This window comes from Homo sapiens, chromosome 15 (assembly GCF_000001405.40).
Source record: "Homo sapiens chromosome 15, GRCh38.p14 Primary Assembly".
In the NCBI taxonomy this organism is placed as follows: Eukaryota; Metazoa; Chordata; class Mammalia; order Primates; family Hominidae; genus Homo; species Homo sapiens.
In genome coordinates, this window is record NC_000015.10 from 97,730,786 (window position 1) to 97,746,778 (window position 15,993).

Below are 15,993 nucleotides of genomic sequence, written 5' to 3' on the forward strand. Positions count from 1 at the left end.
TGAATTTAAGTATATGTATTTTGTACATCTGAATGTTTTTGCTTTTTAAAAACAATATCCTGACGTAGAACCTTTCAAGTGTGAAAATCACCAAAGAATAAAAGTAAAATAAAATAAAGCAGGGAAATTGCATGGAGGAGAGAGCGGCAACCCCCAGCACCCCCACCAACCACACACACAGCGGGTCATCTCTGGTAACTTCCCCAGCCTTCACTCCACCCTCCAATTATGAAATCAGCAAAATTCTCAGGGGAAGAAGACCCAGAAAGAACAAATGTGGCAGCAAGAGACAGAAGGATCAATACCTTCAGAGTCTGAGAATGTAATGGGCCCTGTAGGTCTGTTAATTATCCAACAAAAATTCTGTTTCAAGAAAGGGAAAAACGCATTTTAATAGCAGCTCTATAATTAGCCATTTCTGTTCTTGGTTTCTTAGTAGTTTTTATGTTTGTCTGCCTCCACCTTTATTTCCTTTAACAATGTTCACATAAAATGGATCAGAATTGCTTTGCCTCTAATTATTTACTGTAACAACCAACAAGCTGAGAGAAAGACGACAAAGTAGTAGAGAAAGATCTTTGTACGGGATGTATTGACTCACCACTGTTTCCTTCTTACTCCTTGATATTTTATTCTTCTTTTCTAGTATATAATTCGTAACTATGCATACACAACTCCCCTGAGTTTCATTTTCTGATAGAGTTATACTTTTGGTCTGTGAGTTTGCTTTTCATGTAGATGCACAGTTTGCCCAGCTTTTGGTAAAAAACAGTTTTATTCCAACCCTAAAATCACCCTTTACTGAGATGGAGTGATGTGACCAAGGTGTTTTTTGGGGATTAGAAAAAAGGAAGGTGTTCAGAAACGTAAATGTGACAACCCAGGGAGAGCAGGAGCTTGGATGTCACGATGGAACTGTAAGGCAGAGAATGGTTCAGGGAAAATCATCAATGCCAGATTCTGGTAAGGCAAATGAGAAATTAAATCCTTAGCGGGCCAAACACAAGAGACAAAAATCTCTAGGCTGAATCATGATCAAAGCCACTACAATCTGAAGAAGGTAGGAGATTCACAGTGTCTGGGGCAGTCACCCAGGGATCATTTTCTCAAATCTGAAATTGTTTGCATCCATCTTTCTGAAAGCCCATCTTAAAAATGTAAGACTCTGAGTTCAGCGCCAGAAACTATGAGCCTTATTATGTGAATAGCAGTGACTCTGCACTCAAGAGACATGTGATATATGGAAGAAGAATGAATTTAAGGGTCAGAATGTGGGCCTGGGAGGCAGCAGGTCCAGCCGCTATTCATTGTTCTACTGTGGGCAACATGAAATGACCATTCCCGGCAAGTTGTCATTATTAAGTGATTGAAATATTATGGCTGAGATATGACTTGGAACTTGAAGAAATTAGAGGCTGCTAAAAATAAATTTCTGAAAGATGACTATTGCATGACTTTTAAAGTAATCCATCCAAGCAGCACCAGGGTGAAGAAAAAGACATAGAAGACCAAGAAATGAAAAGCATTGTTAGTAATCTCTCAAGAGGTTCTCTTCAAAATCATTCATAAATAACAATCTATAGGCCTTTTCTATATTATCCCAATTTAAATTTCTTCAGAGATGAGTTAAATCTCACTGTGAGGTCATACGAATGGGATGTTAGGGGAAGAAACCTTCTCTCAGAATCTAGGGCTTCTCTCTGGGCTAAGCATGAGATTTCCCTGCATTATGAAGAAAAGTCCCAAATCACCTGGGTTATGCTAGAGACCTCAAGCAAGATAAAGAGCAAAATAAATTTTGCTCTGTTCTCTGAGCAGTTATGGTTCTTGGTAATAGGCTATTGCTGTAGTTTATTGGTCCATCTTATAGGTTATTAGAGCAAAGCTTGTGTCAGAACTTCCATTACAAACCCATATTTTCTGAGTTGAGAAATCAACAACAAAATTGGGCTAGTATTGAGCCTCAATTTTGATATTTAGTCCCTGCTCAAGAACTTAAGAAAAGAAATTAAAGAGAGGTGGGTGGAGAGATAGAGAGATAAAAAGAAAAGTTACAGATCTGGCACTGCAATTTCAACATGCATATATGTGTGTATGTATGTATGTGTGTATCTATCTATCTACCATCTTAGCCATTTTCCTAATGTAAGACTCGCTTTTGTTTTATTTTGCTTACATTTTTCATGGGACCTATTTGACAGAGGAGAAAGTATTTGACAGAGGAAATATTAAAGAAAAAATCAAATCCATTTTTCACTCTACATATTCACCATACTTATATGTCTACGGAATAACCACATCTTTACTTTTTGCTACTCAAGTCACCTAAAGAACGTGAAGATTAACACTGTGTAAAAGCCAGGAGAGAAGAAGGTAGAGATGTTCTTGTTCATTTTTTTCCTTTTTCCTCTGGATAATAATGAGCTTTGGGCAGACTTCCTTCAAGGTGAACTTCTTTTGATTTTCTTCATTTAAATAGAAAACAAATAGTACAAATGTTTTCGTTTTACTCACACCATAGTTAAGAAAATTATTTAAACTTGTTTAAAATGCTTCCCAGGGCAATGATATCTAAGAAAAGATCATTTGTAAAGGATCCATTTTAAAATGCACAGTCTCAGTATAATGTCCACTATAGAGAAAGACCTTAGCTTAAATTATACCACAGCTATTTTAAATGGATTTTTAAATTATCTACCTTTGCATTTCATCATGAATGTTTCAGGGAAATTATCCTGAGATAATGCCAACAAATGGCTGCAGACTTTAGGTTTATAATTGCTCTTGTTCATTTAAGGTTCCCAGCAGACCATATCAGGAAATTCAATGCCTGGCAAGTCGGGGTTGATAATATACCGTAACTGGCATTTTCTTATTAGATGAGCACCCAAATCGGTTTTCATTTGTAGCAATGACCCTAATTAAGAGAGTTATGATTTAAAGCAAGTCTTTGCATTTTAAGAGTCAGATTTGGATATGGGAGAGTTAGCCAAAGGGTTGTATTTTTTTAAAAAAAAAACATTGGCATAATCTGGCCTTAATTTTAATTTTTCAAATGTATATCAAATACATTTTTTTCAGTGACTCCCTCTCTCAAAATGAGAGACTCCCTTCTAGCTACTGAGAAAATATATGAATAAGCAAAGTTGTTCATATACACATACATTCACATGTACCTAAGTATACTCACCTCAGTCTTCACTAAATTATTTGGTTTTTGATCTGCAGGAGGTCTTAGAAAAAAGAACATCTAATTCAGCTAGCTCCCGACACCCCCACTATCTGAAGTGGAAGAACCCACGGCATGGCAGGTAAAGCATTTTGCTTTAGATCATAAGCTGTTAAGAGGTAGAGCCCAAACTACATGAGTCTCTGGGATCCTAATCCAGGGATTTTGATGGTAAATGTACAAAAAGATCCCCCTCCAAAAAATACCTATTTAAAGATGCTATCTGTGCCATATATTGAAGTGTCTGACTTCCTAAAAACTCATTGAGTTGACAGAAATTATTAATTGCTGTGTACCACAAAAATGTCCTCACTGAAACTTTATGACAACATTGCTGTAAGGGGTCATTACCAAAAAGTAATTTTATTGTAAGGAACTTTAAGTATTCCATCTGAATGTATAGCCAAAATTTGATAACTTACGGAGCTGGATGCAAAGTAAATTCACCTCACCTAACATATCAGTAAAAGGAGGTACAGCAAGAACAATAAGCAACTTTTGGAGATCATTTTACAATTTATGAAGAATATTTACCTAGATTATTTCTTTACTTACAGTTGTCTTCACGGCCACACTGTAAAGGGGCAGGGCAAGACAAACATCAGACATTGGACCATTATCGTTCACATTTCATCGTTTGGAAGATAAGACTCATCAGGCTTTCAAACAACAGATCCTTTTACTTTCCACTATACTATTCTAACTTCCTGAGAGCACAAAATATTATTGGTAATCTATTATAAATTGAAAAAAGCAATATGATTGATGAATTGTTGTTATAATTACAGAAGTGATAACAATAGCCATGATTATTTAGCACTTTGCTTCAGATGATGCCCTGAGCAGCCTCTTGGACATCCACAGACGTGAACATCCCTATGGTAGATGTTATCACGCCAATTCACAGAGAAGCAAACGGAGGTCAGAAGCGTTATCTGATTTCTCTAAAATCATGTAGCCTGTAAATGGCAGAACCAAGATTTGAACCAGGTTAACTTCACCCCAAACCAAGTGTTTTTAACCATCTTCTACACTTCCTTCATGAAAGATAATGCATGTGTTTGACAAGATCCCAGTGCATTGGTAATACAGAAGTATAAACAGACATCAGTGTAAAGACCACCCCAAGCCAAGTTTCAACTAGTATAGGATAAAACTTTGAAAGAACAAAGAAAAGTTTATATGACAAACGGCTTTCTAAGAGCTGTATGTGTGTATGTGTATATGTTTGAGGGATTGGATTCTCAAATATATATATATATATATATATATATACATATAATATACCTATATTTTCATTTATACATGAGTGCATATACATACATAGAAAATACATATTTTAAAAACTAAAATTATACGGCCAAAAGGAATAACATATTATTAAGCTCTTTCACAAAATCCTAAAAAGTTCTAACAGTTATTAAGTAGAATTTAGTTCCTAAGTTTGGTGCAGGAGACAGAATTGCTACCAGTGTTATAGGCAACTATTCATCAAGATCTAATTGTTAGAATTGCTTCATTTCAAGGAAAATGATTTAGCCCCCAGGATATGCATATCACTATTCTAATAAGCCACATTTTTTAACAACGGGAGGGCCTTCAGCTACTCTTGCAAGCGTGAAAATTTCCAGGAATTATCCTTACTGCTATTATAAATGAATAAGTTTTAGTAGTGCCACACTGCAAATCTTTGGCACTGACCTATATAGAAACATTAATATCTTATGATATTGATTTCAAAGATAAAGTCCAGAACCTTATGGTAAATCTAGAGGAAGTTTGTCTCTCATGATAGATGCTGCCATAAGATTCACCTAATAATATCTGAGTAAATCATAATCTCCAATAAGCTCAAGACGGGATCACTGAGCATGTATATCCTCTCCAGGGGACTCTGGGCCCTCATGTGCTCTGGGCACATTTCCTATAAATGGCCACCTAAAACATTGCTAGTTCCTTGTTCTTTGTGACTGTCACTGGTAGATTGAGTTATAATCCAGTCAAGCTATATTCACACCATTCATTCCATTTTAAGGGTTTCAGATGTGTCCCCCAAAACAAGGACATTTGCAATGAGATAAAGTTAGTCAAGAACTATTAGAAAGAGATTGGGAAAAACCCAGACAGGGCCATGAAACAAGTGTGCCTTGGGCTTTGGTAGGTGGACAGGCTGAGCTCTGTTCTTCCAGATTCCCTGTTCCTTAAACAGGAATGACCAGCCCTTCAACAAATAAATAAACTGTGGAATACACCAGTAGTTGGGGAAAGCAATGCTTCCTCTCCTAGCCCCTGTACCAAGTTTACTACTTTGAAATTTTATTATAATTTACAAGTTGCTAATATATTTTCCAAGCATGGTCCCTTTTAAGTATTAAAACTAGATAGCAGCATATATAAATAATAGAACCGTTGACAGGAACCATCAGTAAGTAAGCCAGACTCTAAAAAGTCCCCTTAATGTCTGGGGGTAGGGAGAAGAGGGCAGGGAACCTCACCTTCCAGCATCTCTAGCTATCAGCCCTATAGGCCATTATTCCAAAATTGCCAGCCTGGGTAAACACTGGAGACAGATGTTTTCCAGTTTGTTTATCTTCTTCCTGTCATTTTCACTAATACTCTCTGCTCTTCTTGGCAGGTGACCTTTCACAAATGGTGGCTTTGTTTTAAAAATGTCCTATTGTAAAAAAGAGGGCAGAATTCACAGAGCAAAGGCCAATGTAGCTGGAAGGCTTTGTGGGGGCCATGGAGGCTTGTTTCCTCTGCCAAAGGCCAGCGTTAACCTGCTCCCAGCCATGAGGAGGAAGGGGGTCAGCCCTCACTTCCCAATGCTTCATCCCATTCAAGCTTCGTTTCTTAACATTTCCAAGGAGAACATACTTAACAGTATGGAACTGTTGGTTGGCTAATCTATTTGCTGTGGTGGTATCTTAGGAAAATAAGAGTCAGCAAATATCTGGGTGACTTTTATAAGGAGATAGAGAAACAAATCAATATTCAACAGTACAAGTGAGGACTGGAAAATGTCCTAGTGAAGACATATTTTCAGTATTGGTTAGTTCTTTCTACTCAGAATCTCTAGAGGAAAAGAACTAATCTTACATGTAATACAGATCGTTGGACTAGAAATCATAGATAACCTGGATTTATGCCCCAACTCTATTTCTATGAGAGCTGGGATTCTTGTTGGTGGATCAAATGACTTCTTTGGGCAATTCCCTCTTTGGCAATAAAATAAGGATAACAGTCCCTCTCCACCTGCCTCGAAAGAGTGCTAAATCTCAAGTAAGATTATGCATATAAAAGCATACTGTAAGAAGCAAACACTCACAAAGGATACTGAGTACTTGGTACTTGGGCCACGGAGCTTGGGCTAACATCATTCACCAATTGTCTTTTAAAAAAAGAAATTTCAGATGATCAAAAACATGGGGCATTTCTAAATTAGAAGAGCTTGAATAATGATCCCTTTCTGGTTCCTGATACTGTGGAGAGAGGTTAATAAGTAAGACAACAGTTTCCCATCAGGAGATGGAGAACTCAGTGGTCGAGGTATAATGATAACACTGAAGTTACTAAGCAGCAATTCCTTCTTGCTCATATCTCAGAAGCAAAGAATCCTCAGGGTTAAGGGACACAAAGCCCACATAGGCCTTCCTGAGGCTTTCCAGGTGTTGGCATACTCAGGCCTTACTCAACAGACAAGACAAAGTGATGCTAATGCCCCCATGATAGGAAATAAACTTCTATTGTTTCTTGAAAGCATCTCTGGATAAGAGCAAGGACCAGAGGGCTTTTTCCCATGGTATCAAAAACTGGAACAGAGAGAAAGAGAATTTCTCATCACAATGTTAAAACATCCATCTCATGCTCTGAAGTGCATGTAGCTCTGAATGCTTCCTTCATAGTAGGGAGGCAGGCCTGAGGTTGCTCTTGGAAGGAGTCTCTGGCACAGAAAGCTTTGTAGAAACTCCATCAGATCTCCACTCTCTGCCTCCTGATTAGCTGCTGCCTTCACCTCCTCTTTTGCTTTTCTACTGCAGTTGTTGGATTTGTGATCTTTGCCATTTCAGGAAAGTTTCAGCATGTGTTGTACTGTAATTTTAGCTTTATACTGTTTTTCATTTGTAAAAGAACCTCTTTAAAGAACAGAATGGAAACAAGCAGTTCTTCAAAGGGTTTCAAATGAGAAATGTTCAAGTGTGTGTGAGTGCGGGCACTGTGGTAAACCCAGCAGTTGCTGGGCAGAGGTTATTCATTTATACACTCAGTCATTTGACTTGGATTCTAGACCTCTATAATAGAGGCTGGCAATGTAAAGATGAATGAGAACAACTGGCTTTATCCCTAGAAAGATGTGGCCCAAGGAAACTAAAACTCACTTCTCCCTCACTGCCATCACCATCAGCAGCATAAGCAACCTCAATACCATAATGCATTTTTATTCACGGGTAACCCATTTAATATAAATTCTTCAGTCAATTTCTTTGTTTGTTTTGTTGTTGTTGTCTTTTGTTTTACTTTTATTTTGGGTTCTGGGGTACACGTGTAGATTTGTTATATAAGTAAACTTGTGTCATGAGGATTTGGTGTACAAATTATTTAGTCACCCAGGTAATAAGTACAGTATTCCATAGGTGGATTTTGATCTTCACCCTCCTCCCACCCTCCACCCTCAAGTAGGCCCTGGTGTCTGTTTTTCCCTTATTCATGTCCATATGTACTCAATGTTTAGCTCCCCCTTAGAAGTGAGACTATGTGATATTTGGCTTTCTGTTACTGTTAGTTCACTTAAAATAATGGGCCTCCAACTCCATCCATGTTGCTGCAAAGGACATGATCTTGTTCTTTTTTATGGCTGCATGGTGTATATGTACCACATTTTCTTTATCCAGTCTACCATTAGTGGGCATTTACATGGATTCCATGTCTTTGCTATTGTGAATATTGCTGCAATGAACATACATGGGCATGTCTTCAATCAATTTCTAATTCATCTCTAAATCTTCTGTATCACTTTCAACTACTTTGAACACATAGAACTTAGTAGGCATCTAATATTTGTGGAAAGATGATCTTGAAGAATAAAATAAACATCTAAAGTGGGTTAATACCATTTGAGCAGGAAGAGTGAGGGTGGGTGCATCAGTTGGAGAGCATTGGGGACAACTGAGGAATAATGGAGTAATTAATTGTACATGACCCTAGGCCCTTTGCACTCACCAGATACCGACTTCCTCCTGCATTCTTAGTCACAGCCAGATTCAGCTTTAATTGATCTCCACTGAGCACCTAAAGTGAACCAGGAATTATGTAGGTATTCTTGTATGGCATAGTTTACCTAATATCACAAAACAACCCCTTACATCCAATTAATCCCTCATTACTGGCGTGGGAAATGTGGCTCAAAGATATTAAATAAGTTGCCTAGGTTCCACAGCCTAGTTATGTTAGACCCAGGATCCCGTGTCAGGTCTGCTGCCTCTGACGAGGGTTGCATTATTCTTAAGCATCAGAAATGGATCTCGGAACATGAATAATAAATGAGAAAGACCCACCTAGTTAAAATGACTGTAATTTTTTAATCCATTTGGATGATCAGAACAAAGGCTATAAAAGCATCCTTTGAAAGATCAGGCCAGCCAGAGTCACCTCCCCTTTGCAAGGAGGAAGTCACATAGGTCTAGCTCATCCTCTTAGGAGCGGAGCCCCTGTGAGTTTAGTTCCTAACCAGCTCATCCCAGCCTGGCCTCTCTCTACTGCCTCAATGCAAATGACTACCTGAACCCAGGGTAACCTTATAGATTTTTTAATTCAGTAGTTATTTAAAGTCACTGAACAACTTATTAAGCAGGTAAGATAAAGTTCACAGGATAAAATGTGTAGGCATGCAAATGTGAAGCATTAGTCCATGTGGCACACCGAAGTCTGGCATTGCGTGTTTTAAAAGCCTTCAAAGTGCCGTGCATGTCCTTGTACTTTTCTATATTCCAATGTAGGATTGTGGAGATCTAGTTTCCCTCAATTAAGTTCTCATTGCTGATGAAACCTGAAGAGAATGTGAAATGGTTTGAAGTGAGGAGTGTGTCCTTCAATGTGGATCGATGGGCAAGAACAGTGTGACCAGAGCAGCCATGGGGCAATGCTCTATATCCTCACCAAAGAAGATGGATGCTTTGGGAGTTGAAGAGGATGATCAATAGCATGCTGACTGACATTGATACAAGAAAAGGTCACTCAAGAGTCCAAGCCATAGGGTGTTACCCAGCCCCTGAGGGTGTCATTCACATTGCAGCCTGTAAACAGCACCTCCTGGACTTGGTAGACATGGTGGCCCTATAGACCCCTTATCTTCCCTATTCTCTAGTACTATTATCCTCCATTTACGACCAAGATGGCGGAGCAGGCAGAAGGAAGAGAAACCACCATATGTCACCTTGGCCCCAGCTCATGACAATATCCCCAAAGTCAATAGCCTTTGAGTGCCCCCAGGAAAGAGGATGTGGGAGTGAGGAATACCATGTGCCTGTTCTGTATCAATGTCTGCATTTTATTGATCCGTCCACAATCCCTCCCAAGAGGGATGGATCATTACGCCCTGTCTTTACAGCCAGTGCCTCCTCTGTATGAAAGCCACAGCAGAACAATCCCTCTTTGCCATTCTCAACTTTGCTTTTGTCAATAAGTGCTGAAGACATAAAAAGGGAAGATGGGCTTTGCTCCTGAATGAGAGCTATTTGACTTTCAATATACAGACCGTGGCAAATACCTTTAGATGTTGTGTCCCGTGGAGCCTTTTCAGAGGTAGGTTTTGTTTGCAGAGGGCTCTTTTCTCCTTAAACTAGACCCAGAGAGCCATCCTCTCTTAATTTGGCCTTGTGGATGCATCGTGGCATAGGTATGCCAAACCATGCCCTGGTCCCTTGGTGGAAATGATGGGCTCACAGTATTTTTTCCAGGCAGCATCAGCCATGCCATAGTGAGCAAACATCGAGTTAAACAGAGCTTGCCTTTCTCTTGTGTTTAGGCTGCTGCCCCTTCTCTCTCTGCACAGCCCCAGACTGGCAACATTTTAAGGCAGAGTTTTAAAGTAAGCAGGAAATTGCCACGTTTAGCTGTTATGCTTTTCCCAAGCTTTAGGGCACACACAGAAAATTTAAATGCATCCCCAAATAGTACTTGGTATCAAGAATGGGCATCTTTAAGGTACTATACAATGGAAGATTGAGGATGTAGCAGGACCACAAACATAAAAATTAACATATCCAACTCATGGCTCCTCCCAACTCAGTATTAGAAGAAGCAATGGGGAATAAGAACACATTCTCTCTTGGGAATCTTCAGAGTAGTAAAAAGCACTTTATATTTATGCATAATGAGCTACTTTTGTGCTTTACAGACCGTCTTGTGCATGGTTTGTACCCCATATTAAATTTGATGATGGATATGAAAGTATTTTATAAACAGAAAATTGTTATGCACATTTTAGCTATTATGAAAATAATGATGAGTAAATAACTTCAGTTAGTGAGGCTGTCATTGGACCAATTTGGAAGCCTCTCTCTCCTGTTTCCTCAGTCCTACCCTTGGATGCAGAAGAAAGAAAAACACACAAGAAAGGAATTTTAGGAGATGGAAATTTTTTAAGTTACTGACATTTACTAATAGTCATAGAACTGCAAATTAAAAAGTAAAATTCCATTTCAAGTTATAAGAGATTGGTAAATAAATAAAAGATTGAAAACAATCAATGTTGACAACACTATAGTGAAATAGGCAGTGTGAAGTGTTAAAATGTTAAAGATCCTAATTATGTGATATAACAATTCCACTTTTGTGAATCATCCTACCAAAAATGAAAACACTAGTCATTATATCCCATTACATCCATATATGTATAGATAGGTAACTAGATAAATAGATATAAATAGATATCTATTGATGTTCAATATGGGATTGTTTGTAGTGCAGAAAACTGAAAATAAAAATCCAAATAATCATTCATAAGTCAACAGTTTGTTTTGTTTTGCTTTGTTTAGTTTTTTGAGGCAGAGTCTCGCTCCATCTCCCAGGCTCGTGTGCAGTGGTGCTATCTCAGCTCACTGCAACCTCCACCTCCCGGGTTCAGGTGATTCTTGTGACTTCAGCCTCCCAAGTAGCTGGGAACACAGGCATGCACCACCACAGCTGGCTAATTTTTTTTTTTTTTTGTATTTTTACTAGAGATGGAATTTCGCCATGTTGGCCAGGCTGGTCTTGAACTCCTGGCTTCAAGTGATCCACCCACCTTGGCCTCCCAAAGTACTGGGATTAATTATAGGCATGAGCCACTGTGCCCCACAATCATTCGTGAACAACAAAATTTTAATGTCTTTGCACTAATGCTCTTCCCTCAAGATATGCTGTAATTTACTGAGCCTTACACATATTTGTCAATGTTTAAGCTGATTCTAATATTTCGCCATTATAAAAACACAGACATAGGCAGCCTTGTATACAAATCTCATTCTACAACTCTGATTATTCCTGTGATGTTTATTCCCAGAAAGGGAAATGAATAATATTTCGGATTGTGATGTCAACTGAGTGACCATAGGACAGAGAACAGGGTGGTTTCGAGCAGGGTTTGGCAGTGCGCACTGGAGGGGAAGGGTGGGGGAGAAACGTTCTCTGAAGAGGGGGTACTTGACCAGAAGACCTACATGATGGGAAGGAACCAGGCATGCATAATGCTGAGCAATCAGCCTCTCTGGCAAAAGACATAGCATGTGCAAAGGCCCTGACTCAGGAAAGCTCCAAAGCCTTAGGAAGCCTGGAAAACTCTCAAGAGGTAGTCAGCACTCTGTCAAAACGGACCAATCAGCTCTCTGTAAAACAGACCAATTGGCTCTCTGTAAAATGGACCAATCAGCAGGATGTGGGTGGGGCCAGATAAGGGAATAAAAGCAGGCTGCAAGCCGGCAGTGGCAACCCGCTCGGGTCACCTTCCACACTGTGGAAGCTTTGTTCTTTTGCTCTTTGCAATAAATCTTGCTGCTGCTCACTCTTTGGGTCCACACTGCCTTTATGAGCTGTAACACTCACCGCAAAGGTCTGCAGCTTCACTCCTGAAGCCAGCGAGACCACGAACCCACCGAGAGGAAGGAACAACTCCAGACGCACCACCTTAAGAGCTGTAACACTCACTGCGAAGGTCTGCAGCTTCACTCCTGAGCCAGCGAGACCACGAACCCACCAGAAGGAAGAAACTCCGAACACATCTGAACATCAGAAGGAGCAAACTCCGGACACACCGCCTTTAAGAACTGTAACACTCACTGCGAGGGTCCGCGGCTTCATTCTTGAAGTCAGTGAGACCAAGAACCCACCAATTCTGGACACGAAAGGTAGAGGTGTCCTCAGGGAATAGCCCAGCAGAATTTTCCACATCGCAGGGAATGCTCTACAAAATGTTGAAGATGTAGAGTTCTTGCTGAAAACAAGATTAGAAAAATTAGCAAAGGTTGAAGGAAAGAATAAGAGTGGTAGACTAGGTCCTTTTAGGGTACACACAAAACAGACTGCAGATGATGAGAATTCAGGGTGCACAGTAGCCAGGGAAGCCTGGACCCCTGCAACATCTGCAGCAAGTACAGATGTGAAGTGTTCTGCCATAAATTCAAGCACAGTGGTTCTGTATTCCTACCTTGATGCCACTTCAGGAGGACTCCTCACTCCTCCAGGGCTGTTGAAATGATATATTGATGTGATCTTCATTTTTGTCAATACCGATTGTCTCAACCTCATTTGTTTGGAAAAAAATTACTAATTTGTGATGCCACCTTAAACATTTGCTGAAATACATCTGCATTGGAGGGTCTAGCTCAAGGTGCTCTATTCTTTTTCATTGATCTCTTCTACTAATGCTCATACCAATGTACCTTCCTAAATTATGTCCAGTTTTCTTTTAACAAAATTACTATTTACTAGGGCAGGTCTTCCTTACTTAGTCTTTTTGTTCAGGGGTTGGGGTTATTCCAACCCTCCATTCAGCCACTGAACTTTCTAATAACAAAAAAAAAGTGCCAAAACAATGACACTAGGATTTCGATGACTTTGTTAAAACTGTAAATAAATCAGTATGGAACTGCAACAGCCATACTGTCTTTTGAAAATATCTCCTAATTAACACAGGATTTCATGTGTCCCTCAATTAATTCTCTCCTCTGAATTAGTTGTTTCCATTATACTTCTAAATGTTTATTGCTTATACAGTATATAGGAAACATATGAGAGTTTCATATTTATTTCTGTTGTATTCAGCCACCTTAATAAAATATCTTATTAATGTTCAGTTATTTTATCTTTTGATTGTTTAATTTTTATCACATTCTCCATTATAACAAGGACATCATCAATATTCATGTCTTGTTTCTGATTCTTATGTGAATACAGGGGATGTATTGTTGATAAGTGTATTAGTCACTCAAGATGTATATTCCCTACTTTATAAAACAATTGCATGTGAGATTGAATTTATTCCTTTTGCATTCCTGGAATAAGCTCTATGCTGCATTATTTTAAATATTGATTAAATTTATTTGTATTCTAGCCTTTTAAAATTTACAAGAATTCATTTATGCTTTTAAAAATGGTATTAGCGCACTCAGAGTATTTTTTCATCTGGAATTAATATCAGTATTTTATATTTTCCAAAAAAGAAAATGATTTATTTTACTGAGTGCTTCAATATTCTGGCATAGATTTAGAGGATTTATAATTTCTATCTCCTTTATATTTGTTGTTTCATCATTTCTAACTTCTAATTTTGTTTATTTGAGCTAGCCATTTTATTATCTTACGGAGAATTCCAGACATAGGTCTTGAAATTGTTTTCCTTATAAAAATAGTGTCTTAGATGTACCTCTCCATTTACTTGTCAATTATATTCCCTACCAATATTGCTTCTTTATATTTACAGTTTTTTTCCTAATTTCTTGAGTATAATGATTAACTCATTTCATTTTATTTTTCTTTAATAATGCTATGAATGTGCTTTTTACTACTGTTTTGGAAGCATCCAATGTCTTTATGAGTTGTATTCCATTTTTTTCTTTTTAAAATAATTGTATTCATAATTTCTTTCTAGGCCTGCTAGATATTTGCAATAGTATATTTAAATTGCTGAAAAGGTTAATTTAAAATTTCTTTAGCCCATGTTAAATTTTGGAATTTTGGGGAGGTCTTTTTCATGGCTTAGAATATCATTTTTTCTGATTTTTTTCTTTTAATTTCTCAATAGATGCCTACAAAAGGAATCTTTTTTTATTAGCAGAGTAAAAAATGTGTGCTTTAGTAACTTTTCATTGTTATCCCTGATGGTAACATAAGCCTAGCAGGACTAAATGATTAGCAACTAAGACAGCCGAAGTTTGTCTTGGATGGGCACTTCCTTTGTACATACCTAGATGGCTTTTTTTCTCCTTCTCAGATTGTACTTCTTTTTAGATTCAGATAAAACACTGGAAATTTTTAATTAATGGAATATTTTATTTATTGCTTTAACAAATAGCTCTATTTTGTGGGAAGCCATATTCATAGATGGAAATCACACAATCTCTGGATCCCACCTAGTTCATTTAAGAGACCGGAACTACCCTTGTTGGCACCACTCCCACCTAGCGGCTCTTTTCAGAATTACATAGAGAGCGTCTCAGCATGACGCTCATGACGCTGAAAGTCATCATCTTCAAAAGTAACCTGTTCACACAAGGAAAGCATCACAATTAACGCATTAGGAAAATATTTATTAGACTGAAGCACCTTCTAACATTTAAATTCCAAACACAGTTTGTTTGGATTTTTTTTCTTTGCAGGGTTGAGGGAGGTAAAATTATCTATTTGAAACTAGATGTAGCATGTTTTCTACATAGACAATAAAATATCCAAGAGTAACTCAAATATTTTATTAGAAATGTTTAGAAATAACCTTTTGGAATTTGTTATTATTATTCATCTAAATTTCGATAAACTTCTCTATTCAGTTTCTCCTGATTCCAGGTTATGTTCAATAACATGACGCAGTCACTGATGCACGTGACAGCTGAAGGGGCTCAATGATGTGAAACTCATGTGAGAAATCATGACGGGAGATGCAGCTTTTATAACCCTGCATTGTCTACTAAAGCACAATAATCAAGCCACTTTATGAGACTGGTGATGATACTATAATGACATCAATCTGAGGACAATTTAAAGGAATATTCCATTTTCAAAAAATATTCTGGAATACAACTGAAGAGATAAGCCAATAGAAGAAGTAATTTAAGTATTTGTCCCTAGTTAATTTGTGTAATCAGCTTGACAACTTGCAAAGTCAGTTTAATTCTTTACCTAGCCCTGTAAGATCTGTCTACCAATAACAGCATTACTTAGCATATACTAAAACCATTTTTTCTTGTACTATAATGCTTATAAGAAGAAAATCATCAAATATTTTCATACTTTATACTCTACGGATTCCCAAATAACCAGGTTTGTATTTTAAGGTCCTACAACATTAGAAAATATTCTGTCAAAATAACACTTTAGATATTTGCCAAAAAAGCATATTCTCAGCTGACCTATGGCTTGCCTTCTGTCCTTCAAGGAAGGGTAATAACCTATCTTAATTGTTTCATAAATTCCTAAATAAGGGCAAGAATTTAGAGTACCACTCTTGGCAAAGTTATGGTCCTAAAATTAAAAGGCTGAAACTCAAATAATTTTAAAAATTGGTTTGCATGTTA

The 15,993-nt window shown here is 37.9% G+C and overlaps 1 long non-coding RNA gene across 2 annotated transcripts in view; it reads right to left on the reverse strand.

Moving 5' to 3' along the window:
- Window positions 1-11,830: 11,830 nt before the first annotated feature.
- Window positions 11,831-15,993, reverse strand: part of LINC00923 (long intergenic non-protein coding RNA 923) — a 131,814-nt gene continuing 127,651 nt past the window's right edge. For both annotated transcript variants that reach the window (NR_024173.1, NR_024172.1), the window contains one exon: window positions 11,831-12,698. This is a non-coding gene — a long non-coding RNA (long intergenic non-protein coding RNA 923). The remainder of the gene's footprint in view (window positions 12,699-15,993) is intronic.